General features: G+C 40.6%; 1 long non-coding RNA gene across 1 annotated transcript in view, besides 1 other annotated feature; it reads right to left on the bottom strand.

The window, feature by feature from the left end:
* Nucleotides 1-9,851, bottom strand: part of LOC124905982 (uncharacterized) — a 69,911-nt gene extending 60,060 nt beyond the window's left edge. Inside the window, exon 1 of the long non-coding RNA XR_007086268.1 lies at nt 9,734-9,851. This is a non-coding gene — a long non-coding RNA (uncharacterized LOC124905982). The remainder of the gene's footprint in view (nt 1-9,733) is intronic.
* Nucleotides 2,648-3,149: an enhancer, noted in NCBI's record as "NANOG hESC enhancer chr2:31094769-31095270 (GRCh37/hg19 assembly coordinates)". NCBI's record gives its function as "activates a minimal SCP1, AML or CMV promoter by ChIP-STARR-seq in naive H9 embryonic stem cells {active_cell/tissue: H9 hESC(naive)}" and the evidence as "EXISTENCE:reporter gene assay evidence [ECO:0000049][PMID:30033119]".
* Nucleotides 9,852-14,247: the final 4,396 nt, after the last annotated feature.

A 14,247-nucleotide genomic window follows, 5' to 3' on the forward strand; every position in this document is an offset into this window, starting at 1 on the left:
AGTCACTAGAGAAAGAAACCTTTCTCTAGCATACTCCTTTTCTTCAAGTGAAGAATTTCTCTGAAATTTTTTGGGTTTTATATTTATTTTTAATTATAGTAAAATATGCATAATGTAAAATTAACCATTTTAAATGTTTAATTTAGTGGCATGAAGTACACTCACAGTGTTGTGCAAACCTCACCACTATTCATTTCCAGAACTTTTCATCATTCCAAACAGGAATCTGTATCCATTAAACAATAACTCCCATTTTCCCCTTCCTTCATTTCCTGGTAACCTCCATTCTGCTTTCTGTCGCTATGAATTTGACTACTCTACTTGAGTATTCACATGACTTCACATAAGTGAAATCATGCAATATATGTTCTTTTGTCCAATTTATTACACTTAGCATAATGTTCTCAAGGTTCATCCATGCTGTGGAATGTGTCAAAATGTCCTTCCTTTTCAAAGCTGAATAATATTCCACTGTATGTAATACTACATTTTGCTTATTCATTCATCCATCAATAGGCACTTACATTGCTTTCACTTTTTCGTTATGTTGAATAATGCTGCTCTGAACATGGGTATATAAAAGTCTGTTCAAGTCCCTGCTCTTAATTCTTTTGGGTATATACCCAGAAGTGAAATTGCTGGATCATATGTTAACTAAGTTTAACTCTGAGGAATCCCAAACTTTTCCACAGGGGCTGCAACATTTTACATTCCTATCAGCAATGGACGAGGGTTCTAATTTCTCCACATCCCTCACCGACACTTGTTATTTTTTCTTTCTTTTTTTTTTCAATAGACATCCTGATGGCCATGAAATGGTAACTCCTTGTGGTTTTGATTTGCATTTTCTCCTGGGTTTTAAATAGCCAAGTCTCTCAAGTGGAGTCTATAGTCCTAACACTCAGTGGTAGCAAGGCCTCTAGGGGCAGAGTGAAGTTTAATGATCAGGAACCTCCCAGAGCCTCAGCTGCCTAGGATGTGAGTCAGAGATATTCACTTCTTGAAAGGTGAAAGCACCAGGTTATACTCTAATTGGAAGAGGAGAGAGGACCCTGGATTTGGAAATAAATAGATGTAGCCCTCATCACTCTCTTGTGATCTTGAGTCAGTCATTCAGCCTCTCCAGATTTTAGATTTTCCAGCTGTAAAATAAGAGCATGCTCTACTCAGAATTGTTAAATAACATGATGATGTGGAAGCAGCTGGCACAGTTCGGCACGTCAGGCCCTCAATAAATATGGTCCAGCTATGGAGTTGCTTGGAATTGTCCATTGGCTTTTCTTGGGCTCGATTTTTCTAAGTGTGCACCTTATAAAACCCATGAGGCCACACAGGCCAAATTATATATTCCTCTTGAGTCCCCAGCAGCCCAGGATAGTCATGACCGTATAGGACTCTCTATTATGCATGGACTCCTTGCTCAGACTATGGTTTTTAATCTAAGACCAAAAGAGGTAAAGCAACAGAAAGAAGGTCAGATTCTAAGTCAGCAAGACTTAGAGTCTTGCAAGCAATTTCACTTCTGGGTAAATGGCACAGAGCAAACGACCTTAACAACGTAAACAAAATGCCCAAAACTTGAACAAGAACATGAGTAACTTACATGTGGAGAGTATCCCATGGTCCAAATGGCATTTTCTTATATATTATTTCCATTCATCCTCAAATAATACTGTGAGAAAGGGATTATTATCATTCTCATTCGCAGATGAGCATATCAATGCTCAGGGAAGGTTAGAGACTTGCCTGAGGTCCAGAATCCAGAAAGTGGGGGAGCCTAAACTTGCACCCGGGTCTCCTGATGCCAGGACCTTGGCTACTTTGATGACAGTTCGAGTGTCTTCACTCGAACCCATTCCAGATTCTGGTCTAAGGGTAGGAAGACCAGCAACAGAGACCAAGAGATGTAAGAGACTTTTCTTTTACCTCCAGAATGCTCAAAACTTCACCATCCAGTTAATTTACTGCATGGTGTATTATATTAATGTAGGAAGGTTTGCTGAAGTGGAAATGTGGATTCTCTTTGTTATTGTGTCTTTCATATATTCTGAAACATTCATTCAACAAGTATTTGTCGGAATCAAAGCTCAGGCCAATTCTCTGGCTCAACTGTGGAACAACCACCTTCCCTAACCACTGTCTCTGTCCCCCTGGCGCCCCTCCCCACAGTGCCCCCACCCCCGACACTGCCTTAGTTTAAATATTGTTTATCCTATAGGAAGAAATCAGCAGCAGACAGACCGCTGGATGGCTGACCCTTATTTAGAAGATACTGTCAGTGGGAAGAACATTGCCACCAGATAATGATCACTTGCTGCTAGATAAATGCCAGGGCTAGTCTCTTGATGGATGTTGTGCAGGAAAATAACAATTACTCAATGTAGCTTTGTTGGATTGCTGCAGCACTCACCCTTGCCTGGGGGCACAGACACCCTTTTGGGAACTGAGCTACTGGGGACTGAGTGCAGCGTCAGTTTAACACCTTGTGCGCAGACCAGGAGGTGGGAGATGCTAAATGGGCCAGGGGAAGGGAAAAAGGAGGTACCACCTCCAACTTGCATGACTTTGGAGTGACTTCTTGACTTGACAGTGCCTCAGTTTCTCCAGCTTATACTACAATGGTTGTTACTTGCAACCCCAGGCTGTTTTAAGGGCTTGGAAAATACTTGAAACCAACATTAGGATGTCAAATGGTGTTTCTAACACTGGTAAAGTGCCTACTTCAGTTCTGTTTTCACAGCTCAGCTGACAGTGGGGGCAGGAGAGTTGCAAGGTGCTATGGTTTGGGTACTTGACCCCTCCAACTCTCATGTTGAAATTGGATCCCCGGTTTTGTAGGTGGGGCCTAATGGGAAGTGTTTGAGTCACGGGGGTTAATCCCTCATGAATGGCTTTGCGGTGTTTTCCATGACTGAGTTCTTGCTCTTTTAGTTCCTGCCAGAACTGATTGTTAAAAACAGCCTGGCACCTCCCTCCTGTCTCTCTTGCCTCCTCTCTCACCGTGTGATCTGCAAACACTGGCTCTCCTTTGCCTTCCGCTGTGAGTGCAGACAGCCTGAGGCCCTCTGCAAATGCAAATGTGGGTGCCATGCTTCTCCTACAGTCTGCAGAACATGAGCTAAATAAACCTCTTTTCTTTATACATTACCCAGCCTCGGGCATTCCTTTATGGCAACACAAATAAACTAAGACAAAAGGAGAGAGCTGACTGGGGCATGACCTGAAGCCAGAGGTGAGGGCTCCCCAGGTGTGAGAACAGTAATGATAAAGTAACCCCCAGCATAACTCTGAGCCCAATTTTCCTTTCTGGGCAAAAGAGCCCTGGACTTGGAGTCAGACAGATTTAGATTAAAATCCCACTCAGCTACCTATTAGCTATGTGATTATAATCCAGATAATCCTGTTGAGTTTCATTTTCCTGATTTTAAAATGGGAATATGACTCTGTCCATGTGTGAATTATTGCAATATCCTCCTAATTGGCATCTGCTTTCCCCTTAACCTATCTTCAGTCAGAGCCAGAGTGAGCTTCCTAAAATGCAGGTCAGATCATGACACTCCTACACTTCAACCCTCAATTGCTTCCCATTTCATAGAGTAAAAGCCAAAGCTTGCAATGGCTTAAAAGGCCTCCCAAGACCCGGTCCCTTGGTCCCTCTCTGACCTCATCTTCTACTCTGCTTATTCCCCTCAGTCTTCCGGCCCCCTCCCTGGAGCTCAGAGTCTTTGCTTGGGCTGATTTTTCTGCTTAGAACACTCTTTGCCCACATGTTTGCATAGCTCACACCCTCATCTCCTTCAAATGTTTGCTCAAATGTCTGCTTCTTAAGGAAGCCTACACTCATCATCCTTTTGAAAATTGAGGCCAGGCACAATGGCTCACACCTGTAATCCCAGCACTTTGAAAGGCTGAGGCAGGTGTATTGCTTGAGTCCAGGAGTCTCTACAAAACCCCCTCTCTACAAAAAGTACAAAGAACTAGCCAGGCATGGTGGTGTGCACCTGTATTCCCAGCTATTAGGGAGGCTGAGGTGGGAGGATTGCCAACAATCAACTGAGAAAATTAAGTTTATGTCCAGTTTTTCGCCATTACAGATAACGCTGCAATGATCATCTTTGTATAAAATATTACTATTTCTGTGGGATAGAAACCTAGAAGTGGATGTTCTGGAATAAAAAGCATCCATGTTTTATATTCTGGTTAAGGAATCTCATTGAATATAGTGGTTCCCAGAAATTAACTGGGCCAATGAATAATGTTTCTCTCCAATAACATCTATGTGGAATTTTTCCATACCATATTTTTCTTCAGTTTGAGGAGGAGGCAAACATTGTAGCCTGAGAACATAAATTTAGAACATTTTTCCCATAATCTTACATAATTAACCTAACAACTGTCCCATGACCAACTGGGATTTTACTGAGAAAGCACCCTTTGTAAGCAACACACGCTTGCTTAATAAGCATCCAATGTTCACTATTAAGTACAAGGTGAACCATAAGTTTTTGAACCATGCCTTTTATTCAATTGAGGAAGTTTCATTTTGGGCGTTTCATTTTGTCAAATATTTTTTCTGCATCTATCAAAATGATCACATTAGTTTTCTTCTTTATTCTGTTAATGTGGTGAATTACACTGATTTTCAAATGTTGAAACAATCTTGAATTCCTGGGATAAACTCTACTTACTCATGATGGATTATCTTTTTTGCAGGATTTGACTTGCTAATATTTGTTTTTGATTTTTGTATATGTGTTCATGAGGGATATTGGTTTGTAATTTTATTTTCTTGTCAATACTTTTGTCAGATTTTTGTATCAGGCTTATGGTGATCTCAAAAATTGTAGTGGGGCATGTTCCTCCTCTATTTGTGTAAGATTGGCATTATATGTGTCTTAATTTTGATAAAATTCAACAGTGAAACCATCTGTATTGAACTTTTTGTGGAAAGGTTTTGGATAAATTTAATGTCTCTAATAGATAAAGAACTATTCAGATTTTCTATTTCATTGATGTCAGTTTTGGTAAGTTATATTTTTCAAACAAATTCATCCATTTCATCGAATTTATCAAGTTTGTTGGCATTTCTGTTGATTCCATATCCTTGCTATTGTGAATAGTGCTGCAAAGAACATATGTGCACATGTATCTTTGTAACAGAATGATTTCTATTCCTTGGGTATATATCCAGTAATGAGATTGCTGGGTCAAATGATATTTCTGGTTCTAGCTCTTTGAAGAATCGCCACATCCTCTTCCATAATGGTTGAACTAATTTACACACCCACCACAGTGTAAAAGTGTTCCTGTTTCTCCGCAACCTCACCAGCATCTGTTGTTTCTTGACTTTTTAATAATGGCCATTCTGACTCGGGTGAGATGGTATCTCATTGTGGTTTTGATTTACATTTCTCTAATGATGAGTGATGTTGAACTTTTTTTCCTATGTTTGTTGGCTGCATGAATGTCTTCTTTTGAGAAGTGTCTGTTCATGTCCTTTGCCCATTTTTAATGGGGTTGTTTGTTTATTTCTGGTAAATTTGTTTGAGTTCCTTGTAAATTCTGGATATTAGACTTTTGTTGGATGGATAAATTGCAAAAATTTTCTCCCACTATGTAGGTTGCCTGTTCACTCTGATGATAGTTTCTTTTGCTGTGCAGAAGCTCTTTAGTTTAATTAGATCCCATTTATCCATTTTTGCTCCTGTTGCAATTGCTTTCGGCAATTTCATTGTGAAATTTTTGCCCTTGCCTATGTCCTGAATGGTATTGGCTTAGATTTTCTTCTAGGGTTTTTATGGTTTGGGGTTTTACATTTAAGCATTTAATCCATCTTGAGTTAATTTTTGTATAAGGTGGGAGAAAGGGGTCCAGTTTTAATTTTCTGCAAATGGATAGCCAGTTATCCCAACACCATTTGTTGAATAGGGAGTCCTTTCTCCACTGCTTGTTTTTGTCAGATTTGTCAAAGATCAGATGGTTGTGGATGTACAATCTTATTTCTGCGTTCTCTATTCTGTTCCATTGGTCTATATGTCTTTTTTTTTGTATCAGTACCATGCTGTTTTGGTTATAGTAGCCTTATAGTATAGTTTGAAGTCTGGTAGAGTGTTAAGAGGGAAATTTATAGCACTAAATGCCCACATCAAAAAGCTGGAAATATCTCTATTCGACACCCTAGCATCATAACTAAAAGAACTGGAAAACCAAGAGCAAACAAACCCCAAAGCTAGCAGAAGACAATGAATAACCAAGATCAGAGTGGAACTGAAGGAGATAGAGACATAAATAACCCTTCCAAAAATCAATGAATCCAGGAGCTGGTTTTTTAAAAAAATTCATAAAATACATAGGCTGCTAGCTAGACTAATAAAGAAGAAAAGAGAGAAGAATCAAATAGACACAATAAAAAATGTTAGAGGGGATATCACCACCTACCCCACAGATGCAAACAACCATCAGAGAATACTTTAAACAGCTCTATGCAAATAAATTAGAAAATCTAGAAGAAATGGATAAATTCCTGGACACATACACCCTCCCAAGACTGAACCAGGAAGAAGTTGAATCCCTGAATAGACCAATAACAAGTTCTGAAATTGGGGCAGTAATAAATAGCCTACCAACCAAAAAAAGCCCAGGACCAGATGGATTTACAGCTGAATTCTACCAAAAAAACAAAGAGGAGCTGATACCATTTCTTCTGAAACTATTCCAAACAATCGAAAAGGAGGGACTCCTCCCTAACTCATTCTATGAGGCCAGCATCATCCTGAAACCAAAACCTGGCAGATACAACAACAAAAGAAAACTTCAGGCCAATATCTCTGATGAACATTGATGCAAAAATTCTCAATAAAATACTGGCAAACTGAATCCAGTAGCACATCAAAAAGCTTATCTGCCATGTTCAAGATGGCTTCATTCCTGGGATACAAGGCTGGTTCAACATACTCAAATCAATAAATGTAATTCATCACATAAACAGATCTAAAGATAAAAACCACATGATTATCTCAATAGATACAGAAAAGGCCTTTGATAAAATTTGATATCCCTTCACCTTAAAAACTCTCAATAAAGTAGGTACTGAAGGAACATACCTAAAATAATAAGAGCCATTTATGACAAATCCACAGCCAATATAATATTGAATGGGCAAAAGCTGGAAGCATTCGCCTTGAAGACCGGCACAAGACAAGGATGCCCTCTCTCACCACTCCTATTCAACTTAGTATTGGAAGCTCTGTCCAGGGCAATCAGGCAAGAGAAAGAAATGTATTCAAATAGGAAGGGAGAAAGTCAAAATGTCTTTGTTTGCAGATGACATGATCCTATATCTGGAAAACCCCATTGTCTCAGCCCAAAAGCTTCTTAAGCTGATTAGCAACTTCAGCAAAGTCTCAGGATACAAAATCAATGTGCAGAAGTCACAAGCATTCCTATACACCAACAGCAGGCAAGTGGAGAGCCAAATCATGAATGGACTCCTATTCAGAATTGCTACTATGAGAATAAAATACCTAGGAATACAGTTAACAATGGAAATGAAAGACCTGTTCAAGGAGAACTACAAACCTCTGCTAAAAGAAACTAGATAGGCCACATACAAATGGAAATATATTCCATGCTCATGGATAGGAAGAATCAATATCGGGAAAAAAGTCTTTATCCTCCAATTTACTGTCTCTCGTGCTCTTTATTCCTCTCCAGAGTTAAGTTTCCATCGTGAGTCATTGTCCTTCAGCACTTCCTTTAGCATATTTTGTAGCATGTTTGTTCATGATAAATTCTCTCAATTCCATTGATCCGAAAATATTTTTACATCTTAATTTTTGAGGGACTATGTTGCTGGTAGAGAAGTTTGGTTTGATAATTTTACCTTTCAGCACTTTTAAGATGGTGTTTATTTGTCTTCTGGCCTCCATTGTTTCTGCAGAGGAGTCAGCCTTCATTCGTAACATTTGTTCCCCCATATGTAATGTTTCACTTTCCTTTGGCTGCTTTCAAAATTTCCTTTTCATCTTTGTTTTACCATGATGTGACTAGATGTAGTTTTTATTTTCCTTTTTATTTAGTCTGCTTGAGATTCACTGAGCTTTGTGGATCTGTAAATTTATGTTTGTATCAAATTTAGAAAATATTCAGCCATTATTTCTTCAAATATTTTTGTCTCATTCTTTTTCTCCTTTTCTGCATTTCATTTACACACACTGTGTTATGTTGTTTCACTGCTTTATATTATTCTACAGATTTCTGAGGCTCTGTTCATATTTTTCAATCCTTTTCTCCCTATTCTTTAGCATGGATTATTTATACTGAACTAACTTCAAATTTACTAAAGCTTTCTTAATTAATTTACAATATTCTATTAAGTCCAGCCAGTAAGTTTCTCATTTCAGTTATTCTATTTTTATTCTGATATTCCATTTGGTTCTTTTTTTTTAGATAGTCCTCTTATGTCTGCTGAGGTTTCATATCTTTTCATTCATTATCTGTATATTTTCTTTTACGTTCCTGTAGAGATTTACAATAACTGTTTTAAGTCCTTTTTTGCTATTCCAACAACTGGAATCAGTTTCCATTGCCTGTTTTATTTCATTTTTTCTATTGACTATGTGTCCCCATACCTGTTTCTTCATGTCTAATACCCTTTAATTTTACCTCAGATACTGTGGATGCCATGCTGCAGAAACTCTGGTTTATTATCTTGCTCTCTCACGTATTGAATTTTGTTGCAGCATACAATTAATATGACTCAGTTCAAATTCCAAACTCTCTTTCTTGAAGTGGATATCAACCGGTTTCACTGCTAGTTTTTTAAACTTTTCACCTGGGCTGCTTGGAGTCTCCCTCACACATGTGCACTCCTAGTCAATTAAGAATTTGGACAGGATTTATAAGAATATTTTGGGTCTCTGCCCTTTTTTGGCTTCCTCTTTTCCAAGATTTACCTTCTAAATTTCCATCTTCTTGGCAGGCCTGAAATCTGTTCTTTAACTCCTCAAGCTTATAAAATTGTGGCTTTCTGGTTGAGTTTTAGCCTCTCTATGTTGTGTATCCTAGACTGGGGATAAAAGACAGATGCTATTGGGTGAAAAGCTGTATAAATGTGAATCTCACCTGCCCAGCTTCCTTCTTCCAAGGGTTACTTCTTTTCCGGTTTCTGCCTGTTTTTAATCACTTTTCAGTGCCTTCGGGTGGTTTTTTTTGTCTGCTTGCCCAGAGTTTATAATGCTACCTGCAGAATGGTTAGTCTAAAACAAGCTACCCTACCATGGAAAGCAAACACCTTTCAGTAACACCATTAGTATTTTTTCTTCTTTTATGAATTGCCTGTTTTATATCCTCCACCCTTTCTATTCATCTTTTCTATTCATATTTTCTTATCAATCTATAAACTGTAGCTGATGAGCTCATTTCTGCGTCTGTTCTGATCACAGCCTATTTAAACTAGCTGGTAAAATAGCTTCTATTTCACGCTTGAAACAGAACACAGAGGATAGCCTAATAGAACATTTGCACATAAATCATGAACATAAATATGGAGTTAAAAATCACTTCAAGGTGGTGTCTACCTACACACTATTGTGTAAACATCTGTATTTAGACCTTGTAGTGTCCTCATGGATGGATACACATGACACCACCATCCCTGTCTCCAGAGCAGTTTGCTTAGGCTAGTTTTCCTACTGCAATGTGGTACCCACTATTTTGGCCCAAACATACTCACCACAGTGTATATAGAACAAGGATCGCTGACTAGGGCGTCGGGAGGCCTGGATTTTAATCTAGGTTCTTCCACATCATAGTCAATCTATAGGAATCAGTTTCTCCAGCTTTAAAATAGTCACAATAACGGAGTGTTGTTCTGTGGATAGAATGAAGGAAATGAAATGTCTAGCACAACAAGTGGCACAGAGGAAGAGCTCGATAAACATTGAATCTGAATTCTTTCTCAAGTTCTGACCTATCCAAAAGTGGAGAACAGAGGTGAAGGATTCTTGGCTTTAGGTGCTGCACATTTTACCAGGGGAAGAGATGTGAATATGGGTGGAAGTAGCAGCCCTGCACAGATATATGAGAGAGAAGAGGAAGCAGAGAGCTTGGGGCTGAATTTCTCTAACCACTAGAGTTTGTATTTGCTCTCTGGGGCAATAATAAAGTTACCGCTTTAACTAAAATTTACTGCTAAACTTCAGATGGTCTGTCATACAGAAATATTTTGGCAGTAGAAAACAACTTGCTTAATATAACACAGCTAGAAAGGTGAATGTTGGATTCAATTTCTGGCCTATGTTACCCATGATGTCATGCATTTTTACATACACAAATGCACCTGACAGAGAACCTGGCTTATAAAAGGAGTTCAACACATCCTAATATCTGAATCTGAATCTGACTTTCTTTACAAGTGTCTTCCAATGAGCCACACACAGTGAGACTGGGGACTCTGGAGGACAATCTAGTCATGAGGCCACCATGTTTCTTTGCACCCAGAGTGGGGCTGGTCCCTGGGGTGCTGGGCAGTAAATCCTTAGGGGCTGGAACCCTAGGCACAGATTTTCTTCCTATTTGCCCAGCTGTCTGAACTATAAGGCCCTGGGGAGGCCTGTGTGGGATGAGAAAGTCAGAGCCACCAAATGAGTAGGAGAGGTTCAGAGAGGGGCAACCAACAAAGGAAAGTCTCCTTGAGGAACAGCGTAGCCAACCATGGGTCCTGATAAGCATGGCAGCCTGATGTGTGCATAGTTATCCTGGCACTGTGCTCATCAGTTCACATCCCATAGGTATTTGGTTGGTTCCAAGATGCCACCCATTCCTGCTGAGTAGAGATCAAACAAGACTCCTCTATGGACCAGAGGGCCATAAACATGTGTTTTCTCAGACAAAGAAAAAAAGGAGTTAAAGGTCATCTTGAGAGTCTCCAAATATATAGACCAAGATCTCAGGGTCTAATAAGATCCTTTGCGGCGCTGAGGAGATATTACATCTGAAAGAACTAAAGAATGTGCACAGGCTTGGGATGAACATAACCTAGTTTATGAAAATAGAAAATTAAAAACTAAAGGATGAGGAAGGGGGTAATTCTGTCTACAGTAAGATTCCTCATAGGGTTCCTTTAAGCAGTGAGCTCCCTTGCTGCCATTAAAATATTATTTGATGTGCAAAATTTTAATTAGATCCAACTTTTCCAGAACACATTTAATGTGAATCTGGCTATGCTGGCTTGATGTCGATTTCATTTCCTCACATTTATTTGGGATCTCTTGTTGTCAGGTGCCATTTCTGGGTCTTATGCTAGGTACAAGAATATGGAGGTGAGTAAGGATCAGGCCCCGAGCTCCCAAGTCCTTAGCCCTCTTCCTCAGGAGGCTGCTCCACAGGAAAGGAGTTGGACATTCCTCAGGTTTATTTTCCTGCTGGGAGTGTTAATATCTCTCCCGCCCCCAAACTTGTCTCTGGTGTGTTATCAGGTGAGCACAGAAACATGGCTTTTCTCCACCATCTTCCCCTCTCTCCACAGAGGAGGAGCAGGGTAATCACAGTCTTCCCCTGAGACTAGTAATCAGGAAGGCTTCAGGGCAGACAGAGTGAAAGCCCAGACCCGCAGCCACTTGGAAATAAAGCCATGCTCTTTGGCTGAAGAGTCACAGCATCTGGCTGAAATGTCCCTGGTCCCACGCAGCCATCTTAAAGTAGACTTTGCTCTGCACCTGGAAGAGATAAGGGACCCCCACAGGGTGTGGAGGAGGACAGAGAACAGTCCAAAGTGCTAGTCAAGGGTCTTGGTGGGCTCGAACCCTGATCTCTGACTTTGCTGCCTTTGTCTGGCTTCCTCTGAAGTCCCGGCCCACCTCTTGATGCAAGACCCACCAAGATGCCTAGATGTCCATAGGAAGAGGTCTCTGAGTAACCATGTGAGGCAGCCAAGGCTTTGTGGGAGGAGCCCCCAGCTAGGTCAGGGGCATGGGGCTCAGCTCTGTCTGATGGGCATGACCTCAGGCAAGCCTCTGTCATAAAATGCCTCTGGGAGCTTCATAATTCCTCACCTGAATTGACTCTTCAATGGCCGGGGTTTGTCTTAATCTCAATCTCTCTCTCTTTTTAAAATCTCCAGCATGTTGTATGTGCCTGGCACTACTTCTTCAGTAAATTTTGGTTAAATAAAATGTGGGATGAAGGGAAAGATTTTTTTAAATAGCAGTGGTAAAGTGAAGTCCTACACGAAGGAGGAAGGGGCCGGATAGGCCTTTGGGGCCCCTTTAAGTCATCCCTAATGAATCCATTCTTATCTTCCACCCTCTGCCTTTTCAGCTGCATTTATTCTTACTAATACACTCTTCCTCCCATCAGAGGCTAAATTGGAAAGTTGTTCATTGTTCGTGAACACTTTTAAATAATGTTTCAAGTATATTTAATACACTAGAAGGAAAGGTGTATTTTAAGAAGGTGAATTTTATGCATAACAAACCTAGACTTGGAAATTACTTTTATTTTTAAAAAATGGTTTCTTAAGTATTATATAATTTTTGAGTGCAAAAGATATGTGTTTACACAAATTCTTTAAGCTTTTGCCATGGTCCATGGTGATACCTTTGTATGAAATCTTATGAGCTCCTCATTTTACATCTCTGCAGCATGTGAGCTCATTAAACACTCTTTCTGGAATTCTCTCCTCTTGTGGCTTCCATGACTGTTTATCTGATTCTGCTTCTCACAATTGGATTGCTCCTTTTATTTTGTATCTCAGTTGCTCTTTGCTGTGTCCATTTCCTCCTCCTGCCGCCTAAATGCTGGGATTCCCTGGGATTCCTTCCTTGGCCCTCTTCTCTCCCAGGATGCCCTCACTCCCCTATGCACTGGTCTGACATTGACATGCCTGTGACCTCCACATCTTTCTCTCTAGCTCTTACCTCTTTCTGCAGCTCCAGGTTCAAATTCCTAACCTCCTTGGATAGCTCCAGTTGGATTCTTGTTGTTGCTTGAAATTAAATTTGGACAAGAAAAAACATTTGCTTTTCTTCTCAACTACCCTAAACTCCTCCCTGACCTGTGTTTCTTGTCTCAGTGAATGGTTTTGCCACCAACTTAAGCATTCTGGAGCAGTCTCCGAGGCTGCCTGCCCACCCATATCTCATATCTAGGTAAAGTTAAATCCTATGGATTATGCTCGGGAATGTTTCTAATTTGTGCCTTCCTCCCCATATCCATTATCCCTGCCCTAATTCAAACCCTCACTTTTTTTTTCTTGCAAGAACATTACAAAAACCCAGCTGGGTCTTCCTTCATCCTCTCCTATCTCTCTGCCATACCATAGTCCATTTCATTATTGTTTTACTGGCTGTACCTGCTTTTAGGATTGTTGTCCTTCCAAATAAGTGGACTCAGAGAGTCACAGGACTGGCAGGTGGCTGGGACAACACCTCCACCCTTGCCCCTCTGCAACTCAGATGGCACCTACTTTACCCAGCCTGGGGAGGTGGGATGAGAGTATGGCCTTTGTTCACACTGGCCTAGGTGTGGCAGAAGGTGACAAGAAAGCCTCCTTTGACTTTTCTCATTCTCTTTGTAGCTCCCATTCAGTTGGAAGTAAGTCCAGTTTTTAGATCCAGCTTCAGAATTAGGACTTTAAAAATCTTTTATTAAGGAAAATTACAAAGATATGGAAATAGAAAAGCATAATATGCCCCCAATGAATCATCACCCAGCTTCAACAGTTTTTAACTCATGGCCAATCTTGTTTCTTCTCTGCACCATGCAATTCCCCTCCCATACTTTGTGGTATTTGGAAGCAAATACAAAACTAAAACATTGGGTTTTAACTGAGCTGAAAGACCAGGGGCATAAGCCTTTTGTGTGTCACAGCCATGGTGCCCAGTGTCTCTTCTCAGCACCTCCCCATGTGGCAGCCCTTCGGAACAGGGCTCTACGAGGGACCCTTGACTCAGCCTGTGGCTAATAGTGGCTCATATCATCCATGGGTGACACCATGCCCCTCTCCCTGGGAGATAAGGGAAGTAGTTGGGGGGCTACATGCATGGTATCCCTGCGCTTAGCCAGATTCCTCCACCCAAGGCCTCCAGCTGACCTCTGCTGGAGGAGCTGGAGCAACCGGTACCACCCACCACCTCTCCAAACCACTAGGGTGCTCATCAGACAGCCTTCCCAGCAAACGCTAGGATCTACTCCTGAGCTTAATGAGGGGCCCAGGGAAAAGGATCAGCAGCAGAACAAAGTGGAGGA

Source organism: Homo sapiens, chromosome 2 (genome assembly GCF_000001405.40).
Source record: "Homo sapiens chromosome 2, GRCh38.p14 Primary Assembly".
In the NCBI taxonomy this organism is placed as follows: domain Eukaryota; kingdom Metazoa; phylum Chordata; class Mammalia; order Primates; family Hominidae; genus Homo; species Homo sapiens.